The 24,580-nt window shown below is 46.2% G+C and overlaps 1 long non-coding RNA gene across 1 annotated transcript; it reads left to right on the top strand.

The window, feature by feature from the left end:
• Window positions 1-3,618: 3,618 nt before the first annotated feature.
• Window positions 3,619-18,421, top strand: LOC107986922 (uncharacterized). The gene is made up of 3 exons (XR_001745823.2): window positions 3,619-4,973; window positions 13,407-13,522; window positions 17,970-18,421. It is a non-coding gene; the product is annotated as an uncharacterized LOC107986922 (long non-coding RNA).
• Window positions 18,422-24,580: the final 6,159 nt, after the last annotated feature.

The following is a 24,580-nucleotide window of genomic DNA, read 5'->3' as shown; positions in this document are numbered from 1 at the left end:
AAATGTTTTTTTTTTTTTTTGCTGTAGGATTATTGACAAGAACAAATTAATGATTTACTTACATCTATTTTACTTATTTTATGATTTCATATGATTTATGAATGATAAAATTAATCCATCTGATGTTTACTTTGATGAAAATTATTTGTTTTCAATTATTAACCACATACTTAACCAAATGTCCCAAATAATCTTTTTCTGGGTGCTTACTGATGACCTCTATTTAAAAAATAAATTTGTATATATGTGTCATTCATTTACATACTTGAATTTGTCTGTGAACTACATATCAATTTTCTCATCAGCTCCATGCCATTTAATTGCTGTAGTTATAGTCAGTTTTAATACTTGTCACAGCAAGTTCCTTGTATTACCCTTATTTTAATAACGCTTTTGGGAGATTATTGTATCTTGATTTTTACTGATGACCATTTGAATCACTTAGTTAAACTTTAAGGAAAAAAAGTTTCCCCTGGCATTTTGATTGGAGTTATACTAAATTTATAAAGTGTTATGTGAAGAACTGACTTCTTTACAAGATTCAGCTTTCCCACCCACAGGTATACTCTCTTTACTCAAGTTTTCTTTTGATAGGGATTGTTATTTTATTTATACAGAGTTGGGGGCCAGCCTGGTTCACCTGGAAGATGGGAACAGGGAACAGATGTGCTGGGAAGGCAGAGAGAGGCTGGGTAGCAGCTTGTCCCCATCTGTCCTTGCCTTTGACCCTACCTCTCTCCCCAGGAGCCCCACGTGGAGCCTCCTAAGTGGGGCACACTGGCTTCTGCCCAGAGGCTCAAGGCTGCCCATGCCTGATCTGGAAGCCTATAGCAGCCATGCTTCTCTTTCTAGATTGTTTTTGCTGCTCATGTCTTATTTCCACTCTCTTCATTTCTGATGATTTATCTGGCTTTGGATTTATGGTTTTGCATAGCTCTGGGGAGACAGGCGGAGAGCAGATACTCTTTCATGGTGGAAGAATATTACCATAGGTGTGAGGCTTGATTGGGTACACAGCCTGTTCAGCTGGCGAATGCAAGGCCTCATGGCTCAATATGATGCCCAGCAAGGATCTCTTGGCTCTCAGTGCCACGTAACACAAATCAAGAACCCACTTTATTCCCTGGCCACAGTCTATCATCTAAATGTTTGGGCGACCCTTTTGGCTTCTCTATCTTGAGATAAAGCCAGAGTTGTACCTCTTAGCATTTGTATGTGTGATGTGTGTGTGTGTGTGTGTGTGTGCGCGCGTGCATGTGTGTGTTTTGGCTTCAGAAGCTCTGTCTAGACAGCCTGAAACTTTGAGCCTGGATATCCTCTGGTTCTCACCCTTCATTACCTGCACCGTTTCTTTCCCTAGCTACGTTCTCTTTGAGTCTTCCTGGAGCAAAGAGGTCAGTCTCACTGGAGCTGAGGGCTTGGATTGGAAGGGAAGAGTAATAAGTTGGACACATTGGGTGCAAAGGTCATTCTGGTCCTGGAGGTTGTCTCGAGACAGAGGATGGTTCCAGGGGGCATCCAGGGGCTCAAATTTCAATCCTGGAATTCCAGGTGGACAAGATCTTAACTTGTCAATTTGATTAGACCCCAATGTGCCAGAAGTGTCTCCAGCTCCTCTTACACTCTAGACATCCTCCTTATCTTGATCTGGGTTGGGGGAATTTCCCAGTACTTGTCCTGGACCAGAAAGACCTGCACTTCCTGCCAGCTACCTCCAGCCTGCCTCAATCTGGGTGTCGGCTCCTCACCTTTCACTCAGGCCCCTGGGGACCGGCCATCTTTGGGATGGTGACTGAGATGGCTCTCCCTGCTGGGCAGTGACTCTCCTTAGGGTTTCCTGGTCTTGACGAGAGGAAGGAGTTGCAAGAGGAAGACAAGAGCATAATGAAGTGCCTCGGGTCGGTTTCTCCAAGTTCTTATCACTCCCAAGAAAGTTTCTTTTCTTTTCTTTTTTTTTGTGATGGAGTCTCACTCTACTGTCCAGGCTGGAGTGCAGTGGTGTGATCTGGGCTCACTGCAACCCCTGCCTCCCTGGTTCAAGCAATTCTTGGATTCTCGTACCTGAGCCTCCTGCATAGCTGGGACTAAAATCACACACCATGACATCTAGCTAATTTTTTTTTTTTTTAAAGTAGAGACAAGGTTTTGCCATGTTGGCCAGGCTGGTCTCAAACTCCTGACCTGGGGTGATCTGCCCACCTTGGCCTCCCAAAGTGCTGAGATTACAGGTGTGAGCCACCATGTGCAGTCCCAAGAAAGTTTCTCAAAAGGGTTTGCCCCCTTTGAGAAGCAGAAGCAAAGAACTTCTACAGGCAAAGGGGAGGGAGATGAGAGAGAAAGGAGAAAGTTTACTGCTATTTCTTGCCTTTCTTATCTAGAATGCAAATTTCTGGATTTGCATGGCTCTCTTTTTCAAGGAGGAACACTTAGTCCTCTGCCCACCCATCTCAGCCCCACCAGGCCATGCTGTCTGTAGCCTGGCAACACTTCCTTGGGTCCTCAAACCCCGCCTTTCACCTCCTGCTTTTCTCTTGCCATGCACCCGACACCTGAAGGCCGCCTCACCTCTCTTCTCCCTCCCAAGAGTTGGGTTCCTTGTCAAAGTCACGCAGAATTGTCTAATTATAACAGATTAATCCATTAGGATTTATGCCTTTCTGTTTATTGGCTGGAACTATCCATTTCACAGCTGCGGCTCCCACATCTAACCAGCTAGCAGGCGATTTAAATATAGAAAGCAATTTAACCTAGTTGGATACCAAGGCATCTCGCTTAATGTAGTGCATAAATTTCGGAGCTCTTTGCTCTCAGTCCTCAAAAGGGCAGCCAACAGTTTCATGTCCTGAAAAGATTTGGCTTTTCGGGGAATTTACACCCCGAGAAGGGACCCTGGGTCTTGGCTGAAAGAAAGGAGTCTTTTCAAATGAGGTCAGGGGTTGTTTGCAGGTCAATTCAGCTTTTCTTTTTTTCTTCCTCTTGTGGGGAAAATGATGTTTTCCTTGACTGAGCTTTTTTGGAGCCTGACATCCAAAGGATGGAGGGTGTTTGCGTTTTCTTCTCTCCTTTTAATTTTCATGTACTGCCTGTTTGAGGAAAGTGGTTTTCCCACATTGTGCCAATAGTCAGGGTCACCCTGCCTGCTAAGACTTTGCCATCCAGGTGACACCATGCTCAATCTTGGTTCTCCTAGCTTCACAGCACCTGGCTTATAGTAGGGCCCCACCTAATGTGTGCCATGGCTGGGAAGAAAGGTGGAGGCAGGAGGCCACGAGAACTTGCAAACCCAACTGTAAACCCCAAACTGGAAGCAACAGTGCAGACTTGAGAAAATCCTTTTGGTATGTACGACTGCAAGGCCACCCCCCTTTCAGGGAGGAGAAGAGCAGAGAGGGAGATCTTGCTGAGACAAGAGAACACTAAGAGGAATGAGATGCAAGTCTCCAAGTGCCTGAAGAGCTTCCACAAAATGGGATTGGATTTTTTAATTTTCTTTTCTGCAGGGCCTCAGAGGGCACAGCTAGCAGGCTAAGGGATGGAAGTTATAGGAATAAAGAGTTGTAACTAACTTATTTGTAGGACAAACTTTGCATTGATCAAAGTTGAAAAAAACTTTTTAATGGAACTCTCAAAGAGGTAACAAACTTCCTACCAGTATTTATGCTTAAGCAGAAGTTAGCTATGGCTGGGAGCTGTAGTGGACTTGAGAACCAGACAGGTCTAGGAGACCTTGAAGAGGTTGTCCAACAGAGATTCTGTGATCATGTATCCAGCTTCAGGAATCCATGGACCTGAAATGCAGTCTGTTTTATCCACTCCCTTGGGCAGATGGGAAAAGAAAACCATAGGCTTTGAAGAGGGTGGTGGGAACTTGCTTAGCGCAGAGTCCCTGAGCCAAGAGCGTGAATGCAGTTCGCCTTGGTTCCCACTGCTTGGATTCAGTTCTTCCCCAGGGCAAGATGGCGATTGCAGTAGCAGGGATGGGGTGTCTGCTATTTTCCTAGAGCTTCCATAACAAAGTACCTCAGATCAAGTGGCTTTAATCACAGGAATTTATCGTCTCCCAGTTATGAAGGCTAGAGGGCTGGAACCAAGATGTCGCAAGCCCAATGCGTCCTCTGACGGTGCTAGGGAAGGATCTGTTCCAGGCCTTACTCCAGCTCCTGGTGGTTTCTTGGCTTGTGGCAGCAGCACTCCAATCTTCACAGGGCATCTCCCTGTATGTGTGTCTCTACAAAATTTCCCTTTTTTCATATTGGATTAGGGTTGTACCCTACTCCAGCGTGAGCTCACCTTAACTAATTACATCTGTAACAACCTTATTTCCAAATAAGATCCCAGTCATATTGGATTAGGGGTCTACTTTATCCCAGTGTGATCTCAACTAATTACATTGGCAACGACCTTATTTCCAAATAAGATGCCACTCTGAGATACCGGAGGTGTTAGAATTTCAACATATAAATTTTGGTGAAACGCAATTCAACTCATAACAAGGTATGAAAAGATGGGCTATAGAATGGTTGGTTTGATTATAGGACCCAGCAGAGGTTTCAGATGGTTTTGATAGGTGTGAAACAACTCTAAATTGTTCCAGTCTGAGCCACTCACTCCCCCATCAATCTGCTCTATGTAAAGCCCCAAGCAGGTATTTCCTTTTTTTTTTTTTTAAACTCTAACAGTATTTGAAGTGGGCATCACAGTTTAGCCCTTAATGACAGTCCTTATACTAGTGTTTTGTTCCTGCAAAGAAACTACTACTGAGCACTTAATATAGAAGAAGTATGTGATCTATACAATATCTCAATTAGCCATGACTCTGTGAAATAGTATCAATCCCATTTTGCAGGTGAAGAAATAGATGTTGAGAAGATATTTGGTAACATGCTGAAAGCCACACAGCTAGCAGCAGCAGAACGGGGATTTGGACCCCTGTCTATTTGGCTGTAAAGTTCATTTTCTCTCCGATATACCAGGTAACTCCCAAACTTGTTCATAAGCTTTTCAAGAGAACAGACTTCTCTTACATTCCACTCACTACCAGGTTGATTACAATTTGCTGTAGGCATTCCTTCAGTTCCTTGTGGTGAAATGCCCAGGTGCTGCTAGCTGATCTCTAAGCCCCCTTTTAGCTCCTCTGCTTCATGGTGAATAATCTCCTTTTTTGACTAATGGATTGGTTTACTTTGAATCAGAAATTTGGTGATTATGTACAGAGTTGGTATGTAATAGAGCACCAGTACGGACGTGGAAACGGCTCAATGCTGGGTGTCCTGCCTCCCGGGTAACTGTATCCTGGGCTGGGTCCTCTACTTTGAGCTCTTTTTTTTGTTTTTTGTTTTTTTTTTCAGCTTTATTGAGGAATAGTAGACAAATAAAAATTATCTACATTTAAAGTATGAAACCTGATATTTTGATATGCAGATACATAGTGAAATGATCACTTCTGTCAAGTTAATTAACATACACCACCTCACATAATTATCTCTCTCTCTCTCTTTTTTTTTTTTGGTAGTGAGAACAGTTAAGATCTACCTTCTTAGCAAATTTCAGTATATAATACAATATCGTTAAGTATAGTGCACCACGTTGTCCATTAAACCTTCAAAACTTATACATCTTGCATGACTGAAACTTTGTACCTTTGACTAGCCCCTCCCTGTTTCTCCCTCTTCCTGTCCCCTGGCATCTCCTTTCTACTCTGTGTTTCCATGAGTTTGCCTTTTTTTTGTTGTTTTTGAGATGGAGTCTCGCTCTGTCACTCAGTCTGGAGTGCAGTGGTGTGGTCTGGGCTCACTGCAGCCTCCGCCTCCTGTGTTCAAGCAATTCTCCTGCCTCAGTCTCCCGAGTAGCTGGTATTACAGGTGCCTACCACCATGCCTGGCTAATTTTTGTATTTTTAGTAGAGACGGGGTTTCACAGTGTTGGCCAGGCTGGCCTTGAACTCCTGACCTCAAGTGATCTGCCCACCTCGGCCTCCCAAAGTGCTGGGATTACAGGCGTGAACCACCAAGCCCAGCCTAGTTTGACTATTTTAGATCCCACATGTAAGCGAGATCATGCAGTATCTGTCTTGCTGTGTCTGGCGTACTTCACTTAGCATAATATCTTCCAGGTTCATGTGTGTTGCCACAAATGGCAGGATTTCCGTCTTTTTAAAGGTTAAATAATATTCCCCTGTGTTTACACACCACATTTTCTTTATGCACCCATTAATGGACACTTACACTGTTTCTATATCTTAGCTATTGTAAATAGTTCTGCAGTGAACATGGGAGTGGAGATATCTCTTTGACATACTGATTTCATTTTCTTTGGATATATACCCAGTAGTGGGATTGCTGGCTCATATGGCAGTTCTGTTTTTAATTTTTTGAGGCACCTCCATAGTGTTTTCTATCATGGCTATACTAATTTACATTTTCACCAACAGTGGTAAAGACTCTTTTTCTCCATATCCTTGACAGCACTTGTCTTTTGTCTTTTTGATTAGCCATTCTAAGGGGTATCAGGTGGTATCTCATTGTGGTTTCGATTTGCATTTCCCTGATGATTAGCGAGGCTGAACATTTTTTTCATATGCCTGTTGGCCATTTGCATATCTTCTTTTGAGAAATGTTTATTTAGGTTCCCACTTTTTAATTGGGTAATTTGTTTGTTTGTTTGTTTGTTTTGCAACTAAGTTGTATGAGTTCCTTATGTATTTTGGATAATATATCTATTCCTATTCTCTTAGGACCTATTTAACAAGCAGACAGTGTATCAGGTCAGTAGGTCAGGACACCTTCCATGGGGATGCTTACACTTACATGCTTGCTCTGACTGTATTAGCTACAAACCTGCCCTTCCTATGTAGCAGATTTCATGACACAGAGGAGGTGGGTTTTGCTTTAGGTTGCCTGTCTCAGATGATCAATATTTATTGAGCATGGATCATGTGCTGGGTGCTGGGCTATATATTGGTGGGGGCCAGAGAGACTGATACATGCTTGATAAGCACATGAAGAGATATTATAATTTGAGGAATAACAAGGTCGGGATAGGTACTGGATTTTATGTGAGCACTTGGAGAGGCTGGGGCTTCAGGAAGGACTCCAGGAAGAGATGCAGCTGGCGTTGAATCTTGAAGAGTAAGAGTTAGCCAAGACCAAGCCACAGAAAATAAAACAAAGAAACAAAAGCTGCCAACAAGTCCTGCAGAGGGAAGAGTATATGCAAAATCATGGATGCATAAAGCAAGGTGTGTGTGTGTGTGTGTGTGCGCGCACGTGTGTGGTGTTTTTTTTGTGTGTAAGTGGATTGGAATTAGAGGATAAAATGCTGGAGATGAGATGAAATAGTTGACAAATCATGGAGACTGGTCAATACCAGGTCAAGGGGCAAAGACTTAATTAGTCATGTAGATGACAGAATCACTGAAATGTTTCAAGCAGAGGAGTAACAGGGTCAGAATCACGTCCTCTAGAGAGCTGACTATGTGGAGGATTTCCTGATGGAATTTCTGGAGCCTCGCTGATCTGCTCCATACATGTTGCTGAAGGAGTTACTCTGGAGCTCAGGGGAGGGTTACTTCTTGGTGGTTTGCAGGACAGCTCTGCCTGCCTCCCAGGTAACTGCAGTGCCAGAGGGGAGGGAGGCATTCCCTGACCTCGTAGCTGGGTTTTTGAACTCATTTTCTTTTGGAGGTTTAGAGTTCTCTGCTCCTGAGTACATTGTGAACTGTTGAGAGCTGCTGTAGGGTAGGAGGAATGGTGTGTGTGAGTGTGTGTATGCGTGTGAGAGCATGTGTGTGTGCACCCGTGCATATGATCATCCCCAACAGTGAGCTTGGCATTAACCAGTCAATACAGTATCTGGTTACTGTCTCTTCTTTCTCTATTCATTTAGCATCTATTGCAGTGCTGATTGCATTGTACCTATAATCTTTTTCTGTCTATTCTACTTAACAGTGGGCAGAGACTGTCATCTTTATTTCACAAGTAATCCCTGAACATAATAGATGTTCAGTAAATATTTGTGAAGTGAAAGGGTAAATGGAAGAATGAGGGTTCCTGTGCTCCCTGGCACAAGACCCTGCCCTGGGATCAGCAGAGAATGCCAAAGAAGGCAACATGTCCTGACTATGCCTGTGCCAGGTGGGAAGCCGAGGGCATTAAAAGGCCTTAAGTAGAGGGTCAGGTCTTTGATTAGTGCATTGACTCTTTAAAGGGAGACTATACTATGAAAACTGTGGTACTTACAGGAAGGTCGCATCTCAACAAGGCTTCAGGGTGGATCCCTGCTTGTCCCTGACAGCTAGGTCTTGGGCATAGTCACCAGGCTTCCTAGTTGCCACAAATTACAGGAAAATCACAGGTGGGGTGTGGCACAGGCTTTTATGGGTCCTTTCCTTTGGACCTTATTGACTGTCTTCTTTTAAGTACAGGCCATGCTCCCCTCTCTGACATAGCGGGCACTGGCAGCTGGCAAATCCAATTAAAAATGCTGAAGCATGTACTGTAATTACAAAAAAAGATATGCATGCATCTTAAGCATTTTGCCTTAGTTTAAAATATATACATGTGTACTTATTTGCCAATCCTTTGGGGAGGGGTCAAAGCCTATTCTTGGAGTATGAGTCTCCTAATCAGAGTTTCCGTTCATTGTTCTTGGATCAACCATGCCTGTGATTCATTATCTAAGAACTCTGGTTTTCTTTAAATCCCGGGTTTCTTTAAAGTAAAATAAGAACATCAAGACCCATGCAAAGCAGTATAAACGCAGAATTCTAAATTTTTTATAATTATGCCCACCACTTTCCCACCCTGCTCCCCAAGCCCCAGTCTGTTTTAGTGGTCTCACCCACACATTATTTAACACCATTTTAAATGACTTGCCTTTATCAAGCCTTTCCAAAGCATTCAATATGGTGTACTTAGAATCACCAGCCTTCTTTTCATTTGTGATTGCATTTACAGCTTATTGCTTTGCATAATATTTAATCTAGATGCATAATCAACAATAATAAGTATAATTGGCAACAGACTCCTGATAAGCAGACAATTTGCTGCTGGGAGAGGGGTCCAGGCTATCTTGGAACTAGCCCAGTGATTTCTGTCCTCAGCAGGCTAGGACCCCATCAGTAAGGTAAAAAGACATCTGCTCCACACCCTGTTTTTTCAGTGACTTCAGGACTGGCTGCCTTTGCTGCTCTCTTCTTCTCCAGTCTGTTAGTCTGTCATAGGTGGGGGATTGGGACCAGTGCTTTCTGAGCTCCCCTTAGTTCTAGAGTAGACTTCTGGGCCCCCACAGGAAATGCTTCTAATTTCTCCTGCCTCCTTCTTTTACCTGCCTCTACCAGACTTCCTAAGTCCTCCCCAAGGTCCCTGCAAATGTTTCCATGTATAGGAAATCCCAGATCTCTCTTGATTTCTTATAAGCCACGTAGATATGGGATGGATTCCCAGCTTCGTCACACAGCAGGGTGTGACCTTGGCCATCATACTTAACTTCTTTTAGCCCATCACACCTATCACATCAGTTTATTGTTGTATTAAATTAAATGAAGTTCAACGTGTTATAATAATAGCTAGCATTATTGAGTGCTTACTGTGAACCAGGACAAGCTTTACATGGGTACTCCATTTCATTTCTGCAATGACACTATGAGCTAGGTGCTACTGATCTCAATTTACAGCAGAGGAAATGGAGAGTGAGGCAGTCTACAATATCTTTTAAAATCTAGGTGGAAGAAGCCACGCTACCACAACTCTTGCATTCTGTGTGCCTGCAAAATTAGCACCATGTGAATGCCGCCAGAATTTATGGCTTGTGCCTTCTGGAGTGATGGGTTGAGCAGCACTTGGGCCCATTTGAGTTATGGCTGGGGCAGCCAAGGAGCACTGCATCCAATGTGAGGAGCAGTGACCCAAGGCAACTCTGGGCAGCAAGTCTATGGAGGGTACCATTGACACACCCCCCCAGATCATTCTGCCCACCTTGAATTTTGAGCCTTGATGAGAGGAGCAGATTTAAAGATCTCTCAAATGTTTCTAGGGTCATTCTCCCATTGTCTTGATGATCTCTTATCTCCACACTAATCTTCTTAGCAAATGGTCAATTGCCACACCCTTAGTTTGTACTCCTGAACACTGTTTTTTATTCTTTATCTGATCAGGCTGGAAATTTTTGAAATCTTCCTATGCTGCTTCTCTTTTAATTATAACGTTTGTCTTTAAGTTACTTCTTTCCTCTTGCATCTTACTTAGGCAGTTAAAGTAGCCATGCAGCTCCTTCAGCTTTTTGCTTAGAAATTTCTTCTGACAAATACCCTAGTCTATCACTTTTAAATTCTGCTTTCTATAAAGCCCTCAGGTATAGACATAATTCAGCCAAGTTCTTTGCAACTTTATAGGAAGGCTAGCCTTTACTCCATTTTTCAGTACCTGTTTCTCATTTTCATGTGAGACCTCATCAGAATGGCTTTTACTGTTCATATTTCTCCCAAAATTCTGATTCGGACCACTTAAATAATCTCTAAGAAGAGTCAGACTTTCTCCACAGTGCTCCTCATCTTCTGAGCCCTCACCAGAATCATGCTTAATGCTTGTTTACTGAAGTCCATGTTTTTTCTAGCATGCTTCTCCAAAATCTTCCAGCCTCTACCCATCACCCAGTTCCAAGCTGCTTCCACATTTTCAGGTATTTGTTATAGCAACAATTCCATTCCTGGTACCAATTTTCTGTCTTAGTCCATTTCTCTTGCTATAACACAATATTACAGACTGGATAATTTATAAAGAATAGAAGTTTACTTGGCTCATAGTTCTGGAGGCTGGAAAGTCCAAGAGCATGGTGCTGACATCTGGCGAGGGCCTTCATGCTGCATCATCCCATGGTAGAAGGTAGAAGGGCAATAAAGCATGGGAGCCAGGGACAGAACAAGAGGGAGCTGAACTCATTTTATTTATTTATTGTTTTAAGAGACAATCTCCCTCTGCTACCCAGATTGGAGCATAGACAATGTATCATAGCTCACTGCAGCCTCAAACTCCTGGTCTCCAGTGATCCTCCCACCTCAGCCTCCTGAGTAGCTAGGATGACAAGTGTGCGCCACCACCCCCACCTAATTATTTTATATTTTGGAGAGATGGAGTGTCACTATGTTGCCGAGGCTGGTCCTGAACTCTTGGCCTCAAGTGATCCTCCTGCCTCAACCTTCCAAAGCTCTGGGATTACAGGTGTTAACCACCATGCCCAGCCTGAACTCATTTTTATAACAAGTCCACTCACGTGATTACTAATCTACTCCTGGGGTTACATTAATCTATACATTGGCAGAGCCCTTACAGCCTAACCACCTCTTAAAGGTCTTACCTGTCAATACTGTTGCATTGGGGATTAAGTTTCCCCCAGGAAACTTAAGTTCCAACATGAACTTTGAGGGAAACACTGAAACCATAGCAAGGTTTTTTTGAACTTTCTGGAAAGAGACAATCTGCAACCCTCCTATAATTATCTCTGTGGCTCACCACACTTTTGGTGCAGTAGAACGTATTCTAATGTCTATGTTGTTAGACACCATATCCCTAGTTTATAGAAACTGAAATTGCAAGTAAAACTCTATTTGCCACAACCAAGATGTAGTGAAAAAAGGTGCCGTGGGATTAGGAAGATCTCCGCTCACATTCCAGCCCTGCCATTTTCCAGCTGTAGCACCTTAAACAGATTAATTAATTTCTTTGCTTCTCGGTTCCTTATCTGTAAAGAGGCATAATAATATCTACTTTGCAGGGTTGTTGTGAGGATTAAATGAAAGTGACACTGCTCGGCAGATAGAGGGCAATCCACTAAGGGCCTTTTATTTATAATTCATTCATTTAATAAGGGTTTAATGAAAACCTATGATGTGGCCAAAACTATTCAAGGAGCAGAAGATACTGTGCCTACCTGTAGGAGATGGCTCTCTAACTGGGAAACGTGCTGAGTGCACATGAGGCTGTTGAGTCCCATCGCCAGGTGGCAGAGCCCTAGTGCTGGAGCAGTGGGTGTAGAGATCAATTCTGTGACAGCTGCCCTTGTCCAGATGGAGACTTCCCTGAGGAGGACAAGGTGGAGGAGATATTGTTGGGACCTGAAGGAGAGGAGAAGCCAACGTGACCACTTGGAACAGGGCCCCTCTGGACTTCTGGTCCCCTTTGCCTGTTGCTTGGCGTGACTAGAGTGTTGAAGAGACTGGAAGAGGTTGGAGGTAAAAGTTGTGGGCTTCAGTGTGTCCTGAATGCCAGGCTGAGAGCAGATCATGGTGCTAAGACAGTGCTGACAACCCAGCCAGGGAAAGCGTTTGCTTGGAGGGGCTAGTTGTCACCACCAGATCAGCCATCTTTGCTGCTGTGAGGCGTTTGCAAGGAAAGGCAGCTGGTTCTTTCATCACCAGAATGTGCAGCATGTCCCTGTGTCTCTAGCCTTTGCTGGGGCACCAAAACAATGCCAGTGACACAAAGAGATGAGCAGCGCAGTCATCCTTCTTGGCTCATTTCTGGACAAGTCTCCAGTTCTGCTACCAGTATCACCGGATCTTTTAAGAGAGAGGCTCCACCTTGGGGATCCCCCAGCTCTTGGCATCTTCAGCCAGGAGGCCAGAACAGCTCCTCCAGGGACCGATGGTTAGTAGACATGCCATCCCTGTGAGAGGACTACTGCAGCCACCATGCCAACAGGCTCCTTGTTGCTGACACAGACCGGCAGTCTCCCTTTCCCCCGCCTCCAGGTTCTGTGGCAGCTGTTTAGTGACCATAGATCCCTTTGTGCTTAGTGTTTTCCAGGTTAATTAATCCAATTATTATCATCACTATAGTTTATAGTTAGGCACACTGTGCAATTATATCATCCATTCTGCATTATTGACGTGCAATTCGCCAGCCAAAGACAATTATTAATTCTTACCCTGTCGGGTTGTATCACACATAAACATGATGCATCCTCAGTCCCGATGCCTGGGTGGTTATCCAGTGTTTTGGGATCCCTGCTTGGGTCTGGGCTAACTGTTGTTAGAGAGCCATCCAGTGAGCATGAGTGGATGCCTCTCATTGAGGGGAGGTCTCTTTGGGCAAGACCAGGTAGTAGCAACATCCTCAGCTGAACTGGGAAGAGGAGCATGTGCCTCTGGTCCCAGCCTTCCTATCCAGGCCTTTCCTCCATGGGCAGGCCCATTGGTGTCCTCAGAGATCCAGCTGTGTTCTCCCCAAACCCTAAGGCCCTTCAGCTCTGGTACTTCAAAGGGCTTAGGAGCATCCAGGCCAGCATTACCTTTGTGTGTGTTATCAGCTCTGTGCCAGGAACTTCACATATGCTCTCACTGAATCATCACATCAATCCCACAGGGTAGAATTATTATTCACATTTTATTTATTTTTATGTGTTTATTTTAGGGACAGGATCTCTCTCTCATCCTGACTGGAGTACAGTGATGACATCCCAGCTCACCGCAGCTTCGACTTTCCAGGCTCAGGTGATCCTCCCACCTCAGTCTCCTGGGAGACTACAGGTGTGTACCACCACTCCCAGTGAATTTTTTGTATTTTTGGTAAAGACAGGGTTTCACCATGTTGCTTAGGCTGGTCTCAGACTCCTGGGCTCAAGTGATCATCTCGTCTTGGCCTCCAAAAGTGCTGGACTACAGGCATGAGCCTCGTCACCTGGCCCATTCCCATTTTACAAATGAGGAAGTTGAGGCTTGGAGAGACTTAGGGACTTTTGAAAGAATTGTGGTGATGAGCTGCACCCCAGGTGGCTTTGCTTCAAATACAACACCTTCTTAGCATAAAGAAAAGAATCACATTTTATAAAGAATAAAGGGAGATGGGCATTTGAACCTGACTTGATGTGAAAGGGAAGAAGAATTAAAGAGGACTGTCAGCATTAACTGGCAGGGGACAGAGAGATAAAGGCGCTCAGGCAGTAGGGCCTCTGGATTCCTGGAGCCACGTGTGCGTAAGCCATGCCGGCTTTCACATGTGTGGCTGTGACAGCCCCTCCCGCCAGGCTGCTGAGAAGAAGGCCCTGTGTGTAGTGAGCCAGGTCTGGAGGCTTGTTCACATGTGACCCCTGACGGCAGCGTGGGACTTCCGGGGAGATGAGGATGTGCCAGGGCAGAGGCAGGCCCCCCACAGGGACTCTTGTGTCCTTAAGCACTCATGGTGTCTAGATGGTGTGTGAGACACTCTTGACTGGGGACGTCTGGCTTTTGGAAGGTCCATGGGGAGTACAGGATGAAGCCACCCAGACAGACTGTGTCCATCTCCCTGCATTCTGCTCTGCCTGCCCCCCTCCTATCTAAGCCAGGTGAGGCCAAAGTGAAACGACAGTGTAGGGAGGCTTCAGAAGGAAAACTGGTGTGAAAGGGCTGCTTTCTGCCTGGGGTGGGGGCAGCTGGGGGCTGAGGAAGGTTGACTTCTTATGTTTGGGTTGTGTTGATACAAGAGTCAGGGCTGTCCTCTGTCCTCGCCTTCCCTCTCTGCTGTATTCTTCATGTTTTTAAATTTTCTGTGTTTTATGATGTTTTGACGTCTTGCAGGGGCCTTGTCAGCTGGGGAGAGATGGCTTCCCCCAGGGCCAGCTGATTCCTAGACAGGGTAAACATCTTGCCTATGAACACACCCTTCATGCCCCAACCAGCCATTCCTGAGCCCATCCTCCTAATCATCTCCTTTATCTAACTCTTCCCCACCCAGCAATATTTCCCTACCCTGAAGCACTCCAGGGTCAGGTACCAAGCAGCTAGGGACCACCCTTATACTCAGAGCCCACTGACATTATTCAGAGGAGCCAGCCTGAGGCCTGCCCACCCTGCCCCACCTTGTCTTCCCAAGAGCCTTGTGATAGAGGCATGGCCTCTGCTTTCCCCGTGCTGGCTTCTGCCTCCTGCCTGATTCAGGTGCTTGCCTGCGTGGCCGTGGCTGGTGATGCCTCCCGTTTCTAGGGGAGTTGGGAATAATAATAAAATCTTTCAGTGGTATTAGTTTCTGTGTGCCATCACTCAGTCACCTCAATTAAGATCTTGCAGGTACATTTTAATACAACTGCCATCAGGGCAGCCCAGATTCATGGTCCCCAGCACAGCCCTGTGGGGGCCTTGCCAGGGCTGGTCACACCTGGGGGTGGCTGACTGTGGCCACTGTGAGAGGATGGCACACATTCCGTGGAGAGGATGAGATAAAGGTTCCAACCCTTTCCAGCTTGTTTGGAAAGTCAGAGCAGCACATCCAATTCTTTTTTTTCTTGAGAGGGGGAGTCTTGCTCTGTCGCCCAGACTGGAGTGCAGTGGTGCAATCTCGGCTCACTGCAACCTCCACCTCCTGGGTTCAAGAGATTCTCCTGCCTCAGCCTCCCATGTGGCTGGGATTACAGGCGCACACCACCATGCTTGGCTAATTATTGTATTTTTAGTAGAGATGGGGTTTTGCCATGTTGGCCAGGCTGGTCTCGAACTCCTGACCTCAGGTGATCTGCCCGCCTTGGTCTCTGAAAGTGCTGGGATTACAGGCGTGAGCCACCGTGCTGTACACACCGTGCTGACACACCCAATTCTGTGTGTACTTTTCAAGAGGTTTGGAGACACCAGACGAGGCCATCCCACAGTAGGTGTGGGTGCCACCCGGGAGCCTTTGGGAGTGAGGAGAAAAGGGAGGATGACTCAGAGTGTGAAGGGAGTAAAGGAGGAGAAGCTGTTTCCCAATGCAGCTCAGGGAAGCAGAGGCAGTGCCCAATGCCTCAGTTTTTCCATGTGCTAAACGGGGGTTGGTGTATTTGCTCCTTTACATCACAGGATTTAAGCCTGCAGGGTCAGGGAGGGAACTCTGAGTCTGGGTGGAAGCTCTTTAGAAAGTCCTGGAATGTCATCATGCTTCGCCCTGGGACAGGCAGCCTGGAGACAGGAACATCAGGGGTGGGGATCAGGAGGTGGCTGGAGTCTTCAGTCAGAAGGAGGAATCATCCATTTCTGCACAGTTCAGTGGCATGTTCTGGGTCTCCATGGACCCGGCCAACTGGTTAAAGGAAAATGATTTCCCTGTGGCATCATTTTCAAAAGGAGGATGAGGAAAACTGAAAATTGCAGTAATGATAATAATGATAAACACAATATAAATAAATTAGAGAATAAATAGTAGTGGTTTGCAGAAATAGCAGTTGCAAAGCCCCAGGCTGGTTCCAGGACCCAGATGATGGGTTATTGCAGCTGCTGACCTTGGGGATGGTGCTGCCACTGATCGGAGAAGTGGCAGGGGCATTTCCTGTGGCTTCTGTGGGGGTTCTGGTCTCTGCTGTCCTCTCCACACTTCTGTAGCTCTGCCTAAGCCTCTGGGGACTTCTCAGCTTGGCTCAAGGCCTGGTCTGGCTTGGTGGGTGGGGACTTAGACCCTGGGTTAAGCTCTGGCTCGGGAAAACCTCCAGTGTGACCCTGGCCTGGCCACTCAGTTCTGTCACACCAAGATGCCTGTGATCAGTTGGCAGAGGGAACAGGTGCCGAGCTGTTTATTTATAACAGTTAAGGGCCTTGAAATGCTTTCTCCAGGCTCAGAAAAACCCCCACAAAATTTTTGTCTTCATTCATTGTATCCCTTCCCATCTTCCTACCTCTCTTTCATTGTCCTTCCCTTCCTCCTTCCTTCCTTCTCCCCCAGCCTATCTCCCTCCTTCCTTCTCTTCTTCTCTTCCTCATTTTCTTCCTTTGAATCCCTAATAATGCAGCCCAGTACTGGGTTCTTGCTACCTGGAGATGAATGAGGCCCAGCGTTTGCCCTTGAGGAGTTTTAATTGGATGTCTAAGTCTGTAGAGAATTATTAAAAGTCATTGACCTGCAGAAAAAAATAGAGCTTTTCTCTATCTGATTGGAAGCATCTCACAGTCTTATGAAACCCTAAGGCTGCTCTTGAATTCCTGCTCCTCCTTCCAACAGGCTTCTGGGGAAGACAGGGAAGCAGGGCATAATGACAGTGTCTTGGGGTTGTCCAGCCGGCTTCTGCATCCTGGCTGTGTAAGCCCAGAGAAGGGGCATTGGCCTCACCTGGGTGACCCCGGCTGAGTCCTCTGCAAGTCCTGGTGGCCCTCTCCCTGTGCACCCCTCCATGTCCCTGCTGTTCCCATGGTGAGTTGTGGCCTGTGGTCTGTGCTGCAGGGACAGACTGAGTGGGGGCTTGCTGCCAGCAGTGCCACTAAGCCTACTTTAGGCTGTTATTGTCCAACTGCAGGCCGCGTCCATGTGCTTCTCCAATTTCCTCAGGTCCAGTTCAAACCTTTTCCCTGAGCTCCACGGTGGGGTAATATTGAACTGCCTCCTGGATAATAGTGCACACTATTGGTGTTTGTTAAGTGTGTGTGTGCTATGTGCCAGGCGCTGTACTCTGCTGACGAAGGTCATTGTGTTTAATCTTTATCATTATCCTACAAGGCAGGACTGCAAGGGTGAGGCAGTAAAGCCAGGGTAACTCACCCAAAGTGACATGGCTCCTCGGCGGGTCCCTTGAAAGCCCAGACCCAGATGTGGAAAATTGCACTTGTTTTCTGGCTGTCCTTTCCTTATTGGATTCTCCTTCAGTGACTTCTTTCACTCTGTTCAGCCAGTGGCCCAGTTGAGTAACCCAAGTTGCTTTTTTGCATTCTTTCCCTTCATCCCAACAGCCCCTTGACACTACCAATAGCTTTGTTGCCAATGATATCCATAGTTACTATTTACTGATCTCCTCTTGGTAGCAGGTTGTGTCAGGATTTAATTTTTAATCCTTGGAGGAACTCTGTGAGGTAGATGCTGCTACCTTCCTTTAACAGATGAGAAACCTGAGACCTGGAGAGGGCTGGATGCTTGCCCTTTGCCTTCTAGTGGGCATGCACCCAATCTGTCTGATTCCCAAATGCCCACCCCTCACCAACAGGCAGGGATGCCACCCTCCTTGCTAAGCCTTGCTAAATTCAGTTATTGTACTTCCTTGCACAGGCTCTTGATCCATTCCTATGGTGGGTGACATAATGGCCCTTCCGAAGATGTCCGTGTCCTAATTCCTGGAGCCTGTGAATACACTGGCTGCATGGCAAGGGTGGAGATTAAGGTTGCAGATGGAATGAAGGTTCCAGCTCACCTTAAAATAGAGATTATCTTGGGTTATCCGAGTGGACCCAGTGTAATCACAAGGTTTCTTTAAATGTGAAGGAGAGAGGCAGGAGAAGATCTACCCTGCTGGCTTTGAAGTTGGAAGGGTGCCACAAGCCACAAGTGAAGGAATGTGGGCAGCCTCTAGAAGCTGAAAAAGGCAAGAAAGTGGATTCTTTCTTAAAACACCCAGAAGGGAACACTGCTCTGCAGGCACCTTGATTTCAGCCTTGTGAGACCCATTTTGGACATCTGACCCCCAGAACTGTAAGATAATAAATCTGTGTTGTTTGAAGCCATCGAGTGTGTGGTAATTTGCTACAGCAGCAAGCGGGAACTTATATAACCCCCTGCAGCCCTCAGCTCAGGACCTCATTACCTTTCTCTTGAGCTGTGGCCTCTGCCTTTCCTCCAATCTTCCATCTAAAGGGTCCAAACTATCTTTTCAAAGCAAATATTGTTCCCCACCCCCAACCTTGGCCCAGAAATCATTACTGGCTTCTGCTTTCAAATCTGAGAGGCGGCCAGCCTCTGCACCCTACACTCTTCCTTCCTTCCCATTAGCCTGGAGAAAGGTCCCTGGCCCTCTCCAAGGCCAGCTCCCAAAGGTGCTCTGTGACCTTCAGGACTTCCCTCTGTCTGTGTGGCCTCTTCTCAATCACCAGTTTCTTGCTCTCTGGTGACGGTTCCTTTTGGTACACAGCTATGTGCTGGCAGCTCCCATTTTTATCACCCATCTCACACTTGAGCTTTTACATTTGCTGTTCCCTCTGCCTGGAATGCTCTTTCCCTGGGTATCCGTGTAGCTCATCTCCACATGTTGTTCAAGTCTCTGCTCCAATGCAGTTTCCTTAGAGAATTCCCTCCTGATCACCCCGTCCAAACTCTCTGCTCCCACGTCTCTCCTGTTCTCTTTTCTTCCTAGCCCTGGCCACTGCCTGAGACCGCAGCTTCCCTCTGTCCGTCTGGCTGCCTCCTCCTCTTTGCTCACTTTGCTCATTACTTTAACTCCAGAGCCTGGAATAGAACCTGGCAACCACGTAGGTGCTCAGAGAACATCTGCTGGAAGAATGAATCACGTTTTATTGCTTTAAATACAGTATGGATGCTGATAGATGCCTATATCCTCAGTTCCTTTATCTCCCCGAGTTGTAGATTTATACATCCAAATGCTTATGTGACAGACACTCTATTTGGATGTGTAACAAGCATCGCAAGGTTAATGAGCCTTGGGTTGGATCCGTGTTTTCTGCCTACAACCTGATCCTCCCCCAGTCGTTAAGCTGAACACCAGTGGTTATCCTTGATCCCCGTCCTCCCCCTCTTCACACCAGTCTCCTGGCCAGGTCCACACCTCACTACTGCCCACTTTCTCATCCCCAGTCACTTCCACTCTTGCTCCCCCACAACTCAATCTGCACATGGCAGTCCAAGGATCTTTGAAAAAAAATTTTTTTTAATTGTACATTAGTTTTAGGTTTACAGAAAAGTTTCTAAGGTAGTGTGGAGAGTTCCCAGGCACCCGTCACCCAGGTTCCCCTATTGTAAACATCTTACAGTACTAAGGTACGCTCATCACACTAAGGGACCAACATTGGTGCATTGCTATTAATTACACTCCACACTTTATTCAGATTTCACTAGTTTTCTTTCTGTGCTGGAATCCCACATTACATTCAGTCATCATGTCTCCTTGTAACAGCTTCTCGGATTTTCCTCGTTACTGATGACCTTGACTGTTTTGAGGAGTACAGGTAAGGCAGTTTGTTCAATGCCCCTCAATTTGGGTTCATCTGATGGTTTTCTCATGTTTAGGCTGGAGTTATGGGTTTTGGAGAGGAGAAGTGCTATTCTATTCACATCACATGAAGGCTACCTAGCATCAGCGATGTGTTTCACTGTGGACCTTGGCCTTGATCACCTGGCTGAGGTCATGTTTGCCAGGTTTCTCCTCTGCAGCTACCTTTCCTGCTCCTTTCCCATGCTCTACTCTTCGGAAGCAGGTCACCAAGAGCAGATCACATTCAAGGGGCAGGAAGAGAAGAAAATTAAACTCCATGACTTGGAGTGGAGAACGTCTACTAAATATTTGGAGTTTTATAGGGGAGATCTGTTTCTCCTCTCTCACTTATTCATCCATTCATTTATTTATTAATTCATCATGTATTTATATCAGTGGACTCATGGGTATTTGCATCATACTTTGGGTCCCAATTCAATACTATTTTATTTACTTACTGTGCAAAGTGTTCCAGCTTTGGCCTTGGGGACCTGCTTCGGTTTGGCTCCCGTGTCACTTTGCCGTGCTCCCTCTGTTTAGCACATCCCTGCTTTCTGGCACTGGAAGGTGCCGTGGGCTCATCTGGTGTGTTCCCTGCCCAAGCCCTAGAATCAGCCATTATTCCAAGGAGCACTGGAGCCATTTTCTTAGAGAAAGGAAAATCTGGAAGCTGGGTGTGTCCATGGGCACTGGGCCAGTGTGCTGTTGAAAATGCTAAATGAAACACTTATTTTTGCCCTTAGAATAAAAGGCGCACTCCTTACCATAGTCATCTGGTTCTGAGTGACTTTTCCAGTTTTGTTTTGAATCATTGTGCAGCCACAATGGACTCACTCCTGTTCTTAAGCCAGAACCTTTGGACTTCCTTTGTGTTCCTCGGTTTTTGCCTGGCTGACTCCTTTCCAGGCTCCAGGTCTCAGCTCAAAGCCCCTGGACTCTAACTTCATGAGTGCCACAAGGGTAAAGGCCTTGTCTGCCTCATTCGCTATTGTCTTCTAGTCCCTGGAAAAGCCTCTGGCACCTGACCAAGCTAAGCAACCATTTATGGAATGAGCAACTATTTCCAAGCACTGGTGCCGCCATCTGCAGGCTGGCTCTCTGATGGGAAGCCTGTCTCTCCCTGGAAAGCTTTATTTCTTCTCTTAAGGCCTCGCTCAAAGGTGAGTGGAGCCCTGTCTGATTCCCCATGATCCAGAAAACTGTGGCTTCTGCTTTTGCTCCTGTTGATCTTTCTGCATGTCTCCGTGACAGCATCCAGCCCGGTAGATGCTAACAATAGTGAGCCTGCAAACATACCTCTCTTCCTCACGGGGCAAACTCCCCTAGGGTGCAAACCTTGACTTGCCCATCCAGCGCTGCTGTTCAAGGAACTCAGTAAATGTTTGTCAAGCGAATATTGGGACTCCTCATTTGGATTATTTCAGCCATCTTCAGTCTAACCCTTGCTAGGAAAGGGTGAGCTGGCCACTAAGGGAGCTGTCTCCAGCCCTCAGAAAGGGCATGGAAGACCGTGACAAATGTTGCCTCCCATTTGCTTTTTCCTTCTTTCCTTCTTTTGGTAGAAAGAATCAGAGGGTGGAAACTTCACTTCTAGCAAAGCTGTCTGATATTTCCCCAGGTATAAAGGAGGTCCCTTCATCCCTAGTCTTATCTTAAAATCTCCTTGATGTCTGTGTCTTTAAAAAAAATTTCCACCTCTGAAGATCAATAATATTGCAGAAGTTAGAGATCAAAGTTTTTCAAGTGGTGGGTGAGCTGAGGTGGGAGGTGGGGGTGGAGGCTGGAAAGAGGGTTTCTATTAAACTCATCCCTGGATGATGCTTCCAGATGCACGGAAGCTCATTCTGTCACCTGCTTGTAGTGCCCTCTTTTTCTTTCTCTCCCCTCTCCCCAACACTTTTCCTCCATCCCTCCCCCTCTTGCCCATAAATAAAGCCACAGCCTCAACAACATCTTGTAAAGCACATTAGAAAATGCCTCTAATAAATCCCTAACAGCCTTGGCCATAACCAGCTGAAAGAAAGGTGATCATGACACGGAAGTGTCAGGTTAGAACAACAAATTGGGCCATGTGAGCAGGGATTTATTCGTCTTTGTAAATGTGCTATAAAGGTCCATATAATTTCACAAATAAATACGAATATTGCTTAGTAAATGGCTCCTGAATTTAGAGCTCCAGGACCACTGGAAGTAGCACATTAGCACCAACGGTGCAATTTCAGATGTGGGGCAAATCAGCCCGGGGCACCAACCAGGTGGCACTGGGCCCTACCTGTGTCCCTTCTCAAATGTGTGCGGTGCCTCAGGCTAGGGCAGCAGGAGGGGACCCAGGGCTGGTGGGCTCTGGGGTTCTCATAACAGTCCCCGGGGCTTAGGATGATCAGGAAAGATCAAAGAGGAAGGCAGGCTCTGAGCTCTTCATCATCTCTAAAGATGGTGATTGTCAGGCTCAGGAGAGCTGGCAACCCAGGAATTGGTCCTCCCAGTTTGTCTGGGGCTAGGGGCTTCCTGGGATGCTGGGCTTCTGGTTTTAGAAGCGGGATGGCTGGTCACCTTTCTTGTTGGAGAGCAGTGGTACTGATCGGTGACCCCAGAAACTAGGCATGGGGAAGAAGAAGGGAAAAGAAGGTGGGGGGCGGAGGGGAAGGGCTTCAGAGAAAGTAGAATTGGATTAATATTGGTGTTTTTTCAACTCTGGCTGTCCTTGAAGCATTTTTAAAAACTATTAGTTTGTGGCCCCATTTCAGACCAGTAAACTGGAATCTCCGAGGGTGGGGTCCAGGATTGGTATTACTTAGGGGCTCTGCAGGTGATTCTGATGTGCACTGGGGCATGGTTCAGAGCCCTGGAGGCCCCTGCCCCTCCCCACCCCAATGCTGCTCCTTGAGTGCACCTTCGCAGTGCGTCATAGAGCTGTCCGGTCCATTGATTTCCTTTTGTCATGTTGCCTTTGTCCCTCCTACTCCCCTTTTTAAATACCAGGTCACATAGGCTCAGACAAACCATATTGGCTAAATCAGTCATGAAACCGCCAGGAACACTGGCTGACCCTCTCCCCATCTGGTGCTTTTCTGTTATAGACACAGCCTAAATAAGAAATGATGACCTAAATTTTCAAACCAAAGATGTTGCAAATAGGAAGGTCCATCCTCAGAAGCATTCTTTTTTTTATAATTAAGATACAGATGCAATGGGCCTTGGCAGAATGTGTGTATCATTGCCCCTTCTCCGTGCCTGCTGGTGGGACAGAGTGACCTGGAGCTTATGTATCATTTTGCTCTGTTGGCCAGCGGGGATTGGCTGGCAGGACCCACAGACCCTACATTTAAACCCCATATGTCTTCCTGCATACTTGCAATCTTGTTTTTCTGCATGGGACAGAAATCTGGATGGTGACTGCTATACTGGGTGGTGGGGGAGGCTCCCTATCATGACCTGTCAGAGGGGGTGGATGGGGGTGGGGGCCTCCCATTATGCTTAGAGAAAGAGAGAAGATCAAGGCTCCCAGAAGAGGAAGTTTGTTTTCCATAGAAACCTAACTTGGGTGTGCAAGCTCCTCCTGCTTCTGACATGAAACTGACTCTTGTCCATTCTTCTAGGCTGCATTTCTCTGAACTCCACCACCTGTTGTCTGCAGCCCAAATTCTGCCCCCAACCCTTGTAACGATAATGCCTCAATTACCCAGTGCTCTGCCCTCCCATAAAGTGATAGGTATCCAGGATCTCATTTGATGCTGGCTTGCATTGTTCTCTCATTATTTTACGAATGTGGAAAAGACATAGAGATTTAGATTCATAGCTTGGGTCCCAGTCCCATTTCACTTGATGGCTCTCTGACCTAGAACAAATCACTTACTTCCTTTGATCATTAGTTTTCTTCTCTGTGTAATGGGAATAATGGGACTGTAGACCCATGAAGTGCACAATGTTACATACAGTGTTGGGCACATATTTGGTGTTCATTGCATTTGGTACCTCTTTCCCTAGCTCCCTCCTTTTCCTCTATATGGCTGTTGAGATAATCAAATGAGGTAATTTATGTAAGGATCATGTGGAAAGTGCTATACTTATACTCAAGCCTATTCTAGTTATTACTCTTATACCTATTAGACCTCTATCCTCCCTGGCTATATCTAGAGACCAGACTATTTACTCTTCCATACTAGACCGTGAAGCACCTATACTGCTTTGCTATCTCTCAGTCTTCATGATGGGAGCATCACACATCAACTCTTCTCTTTCCTTTCTGAACTTCTATAGCCTTCCTTGCCTTTTTCTGGGGCCCAGTTCAAATTCAGCCTTTCAAGGTTCACATCTATTCTTTCCAGGAAGGAAGCCTGGGATCTCAGGATCTTGGAGCTGGTGAGGAAAGGAGACTTCAAGGTCTCTGCAGTGACTTATCACAGCTACCCCATCTCTGAGGACTTCACACTGATCTCCAACTGTTTGACTTCGCTCAGGCCATCTGCCTTGACTCTGCCATCCAAGCTGTAGGGTCCTCCTTTCTTATCTCTCCAAAGCCCACTCATCCCCCAGGATCCAAGCCTAGCCCTGCTTCCCCCAGCAGGGAAGAAGTAACTCTGACCTCTTTCATACTTACCACCTGTGATGTTCTCGTATCAGTCCATGGCCTGGATATCCTCTCTTGGTCCCCCTATGCTCACCCTTACCCTACTGT

The sequence above is a fragment of the Homo sapiens genome, chromosome 8, assembly GCF_000001405.40.
Source record: "Homo sapiens chromosome 8, GRCh38.p14 Primary Assembly".
Classification (NCBI taxonomy): Eukaryota; Metazoa; Chordata; class Mammalia; order Primates; family Hominidae; genus Homo; species Homo sapiens.
The sequence above is the reverse complement of the archived record's forward strand: the minus strand, read 5'-3'. Positions and strand labels throughout refer to the sequence as shown.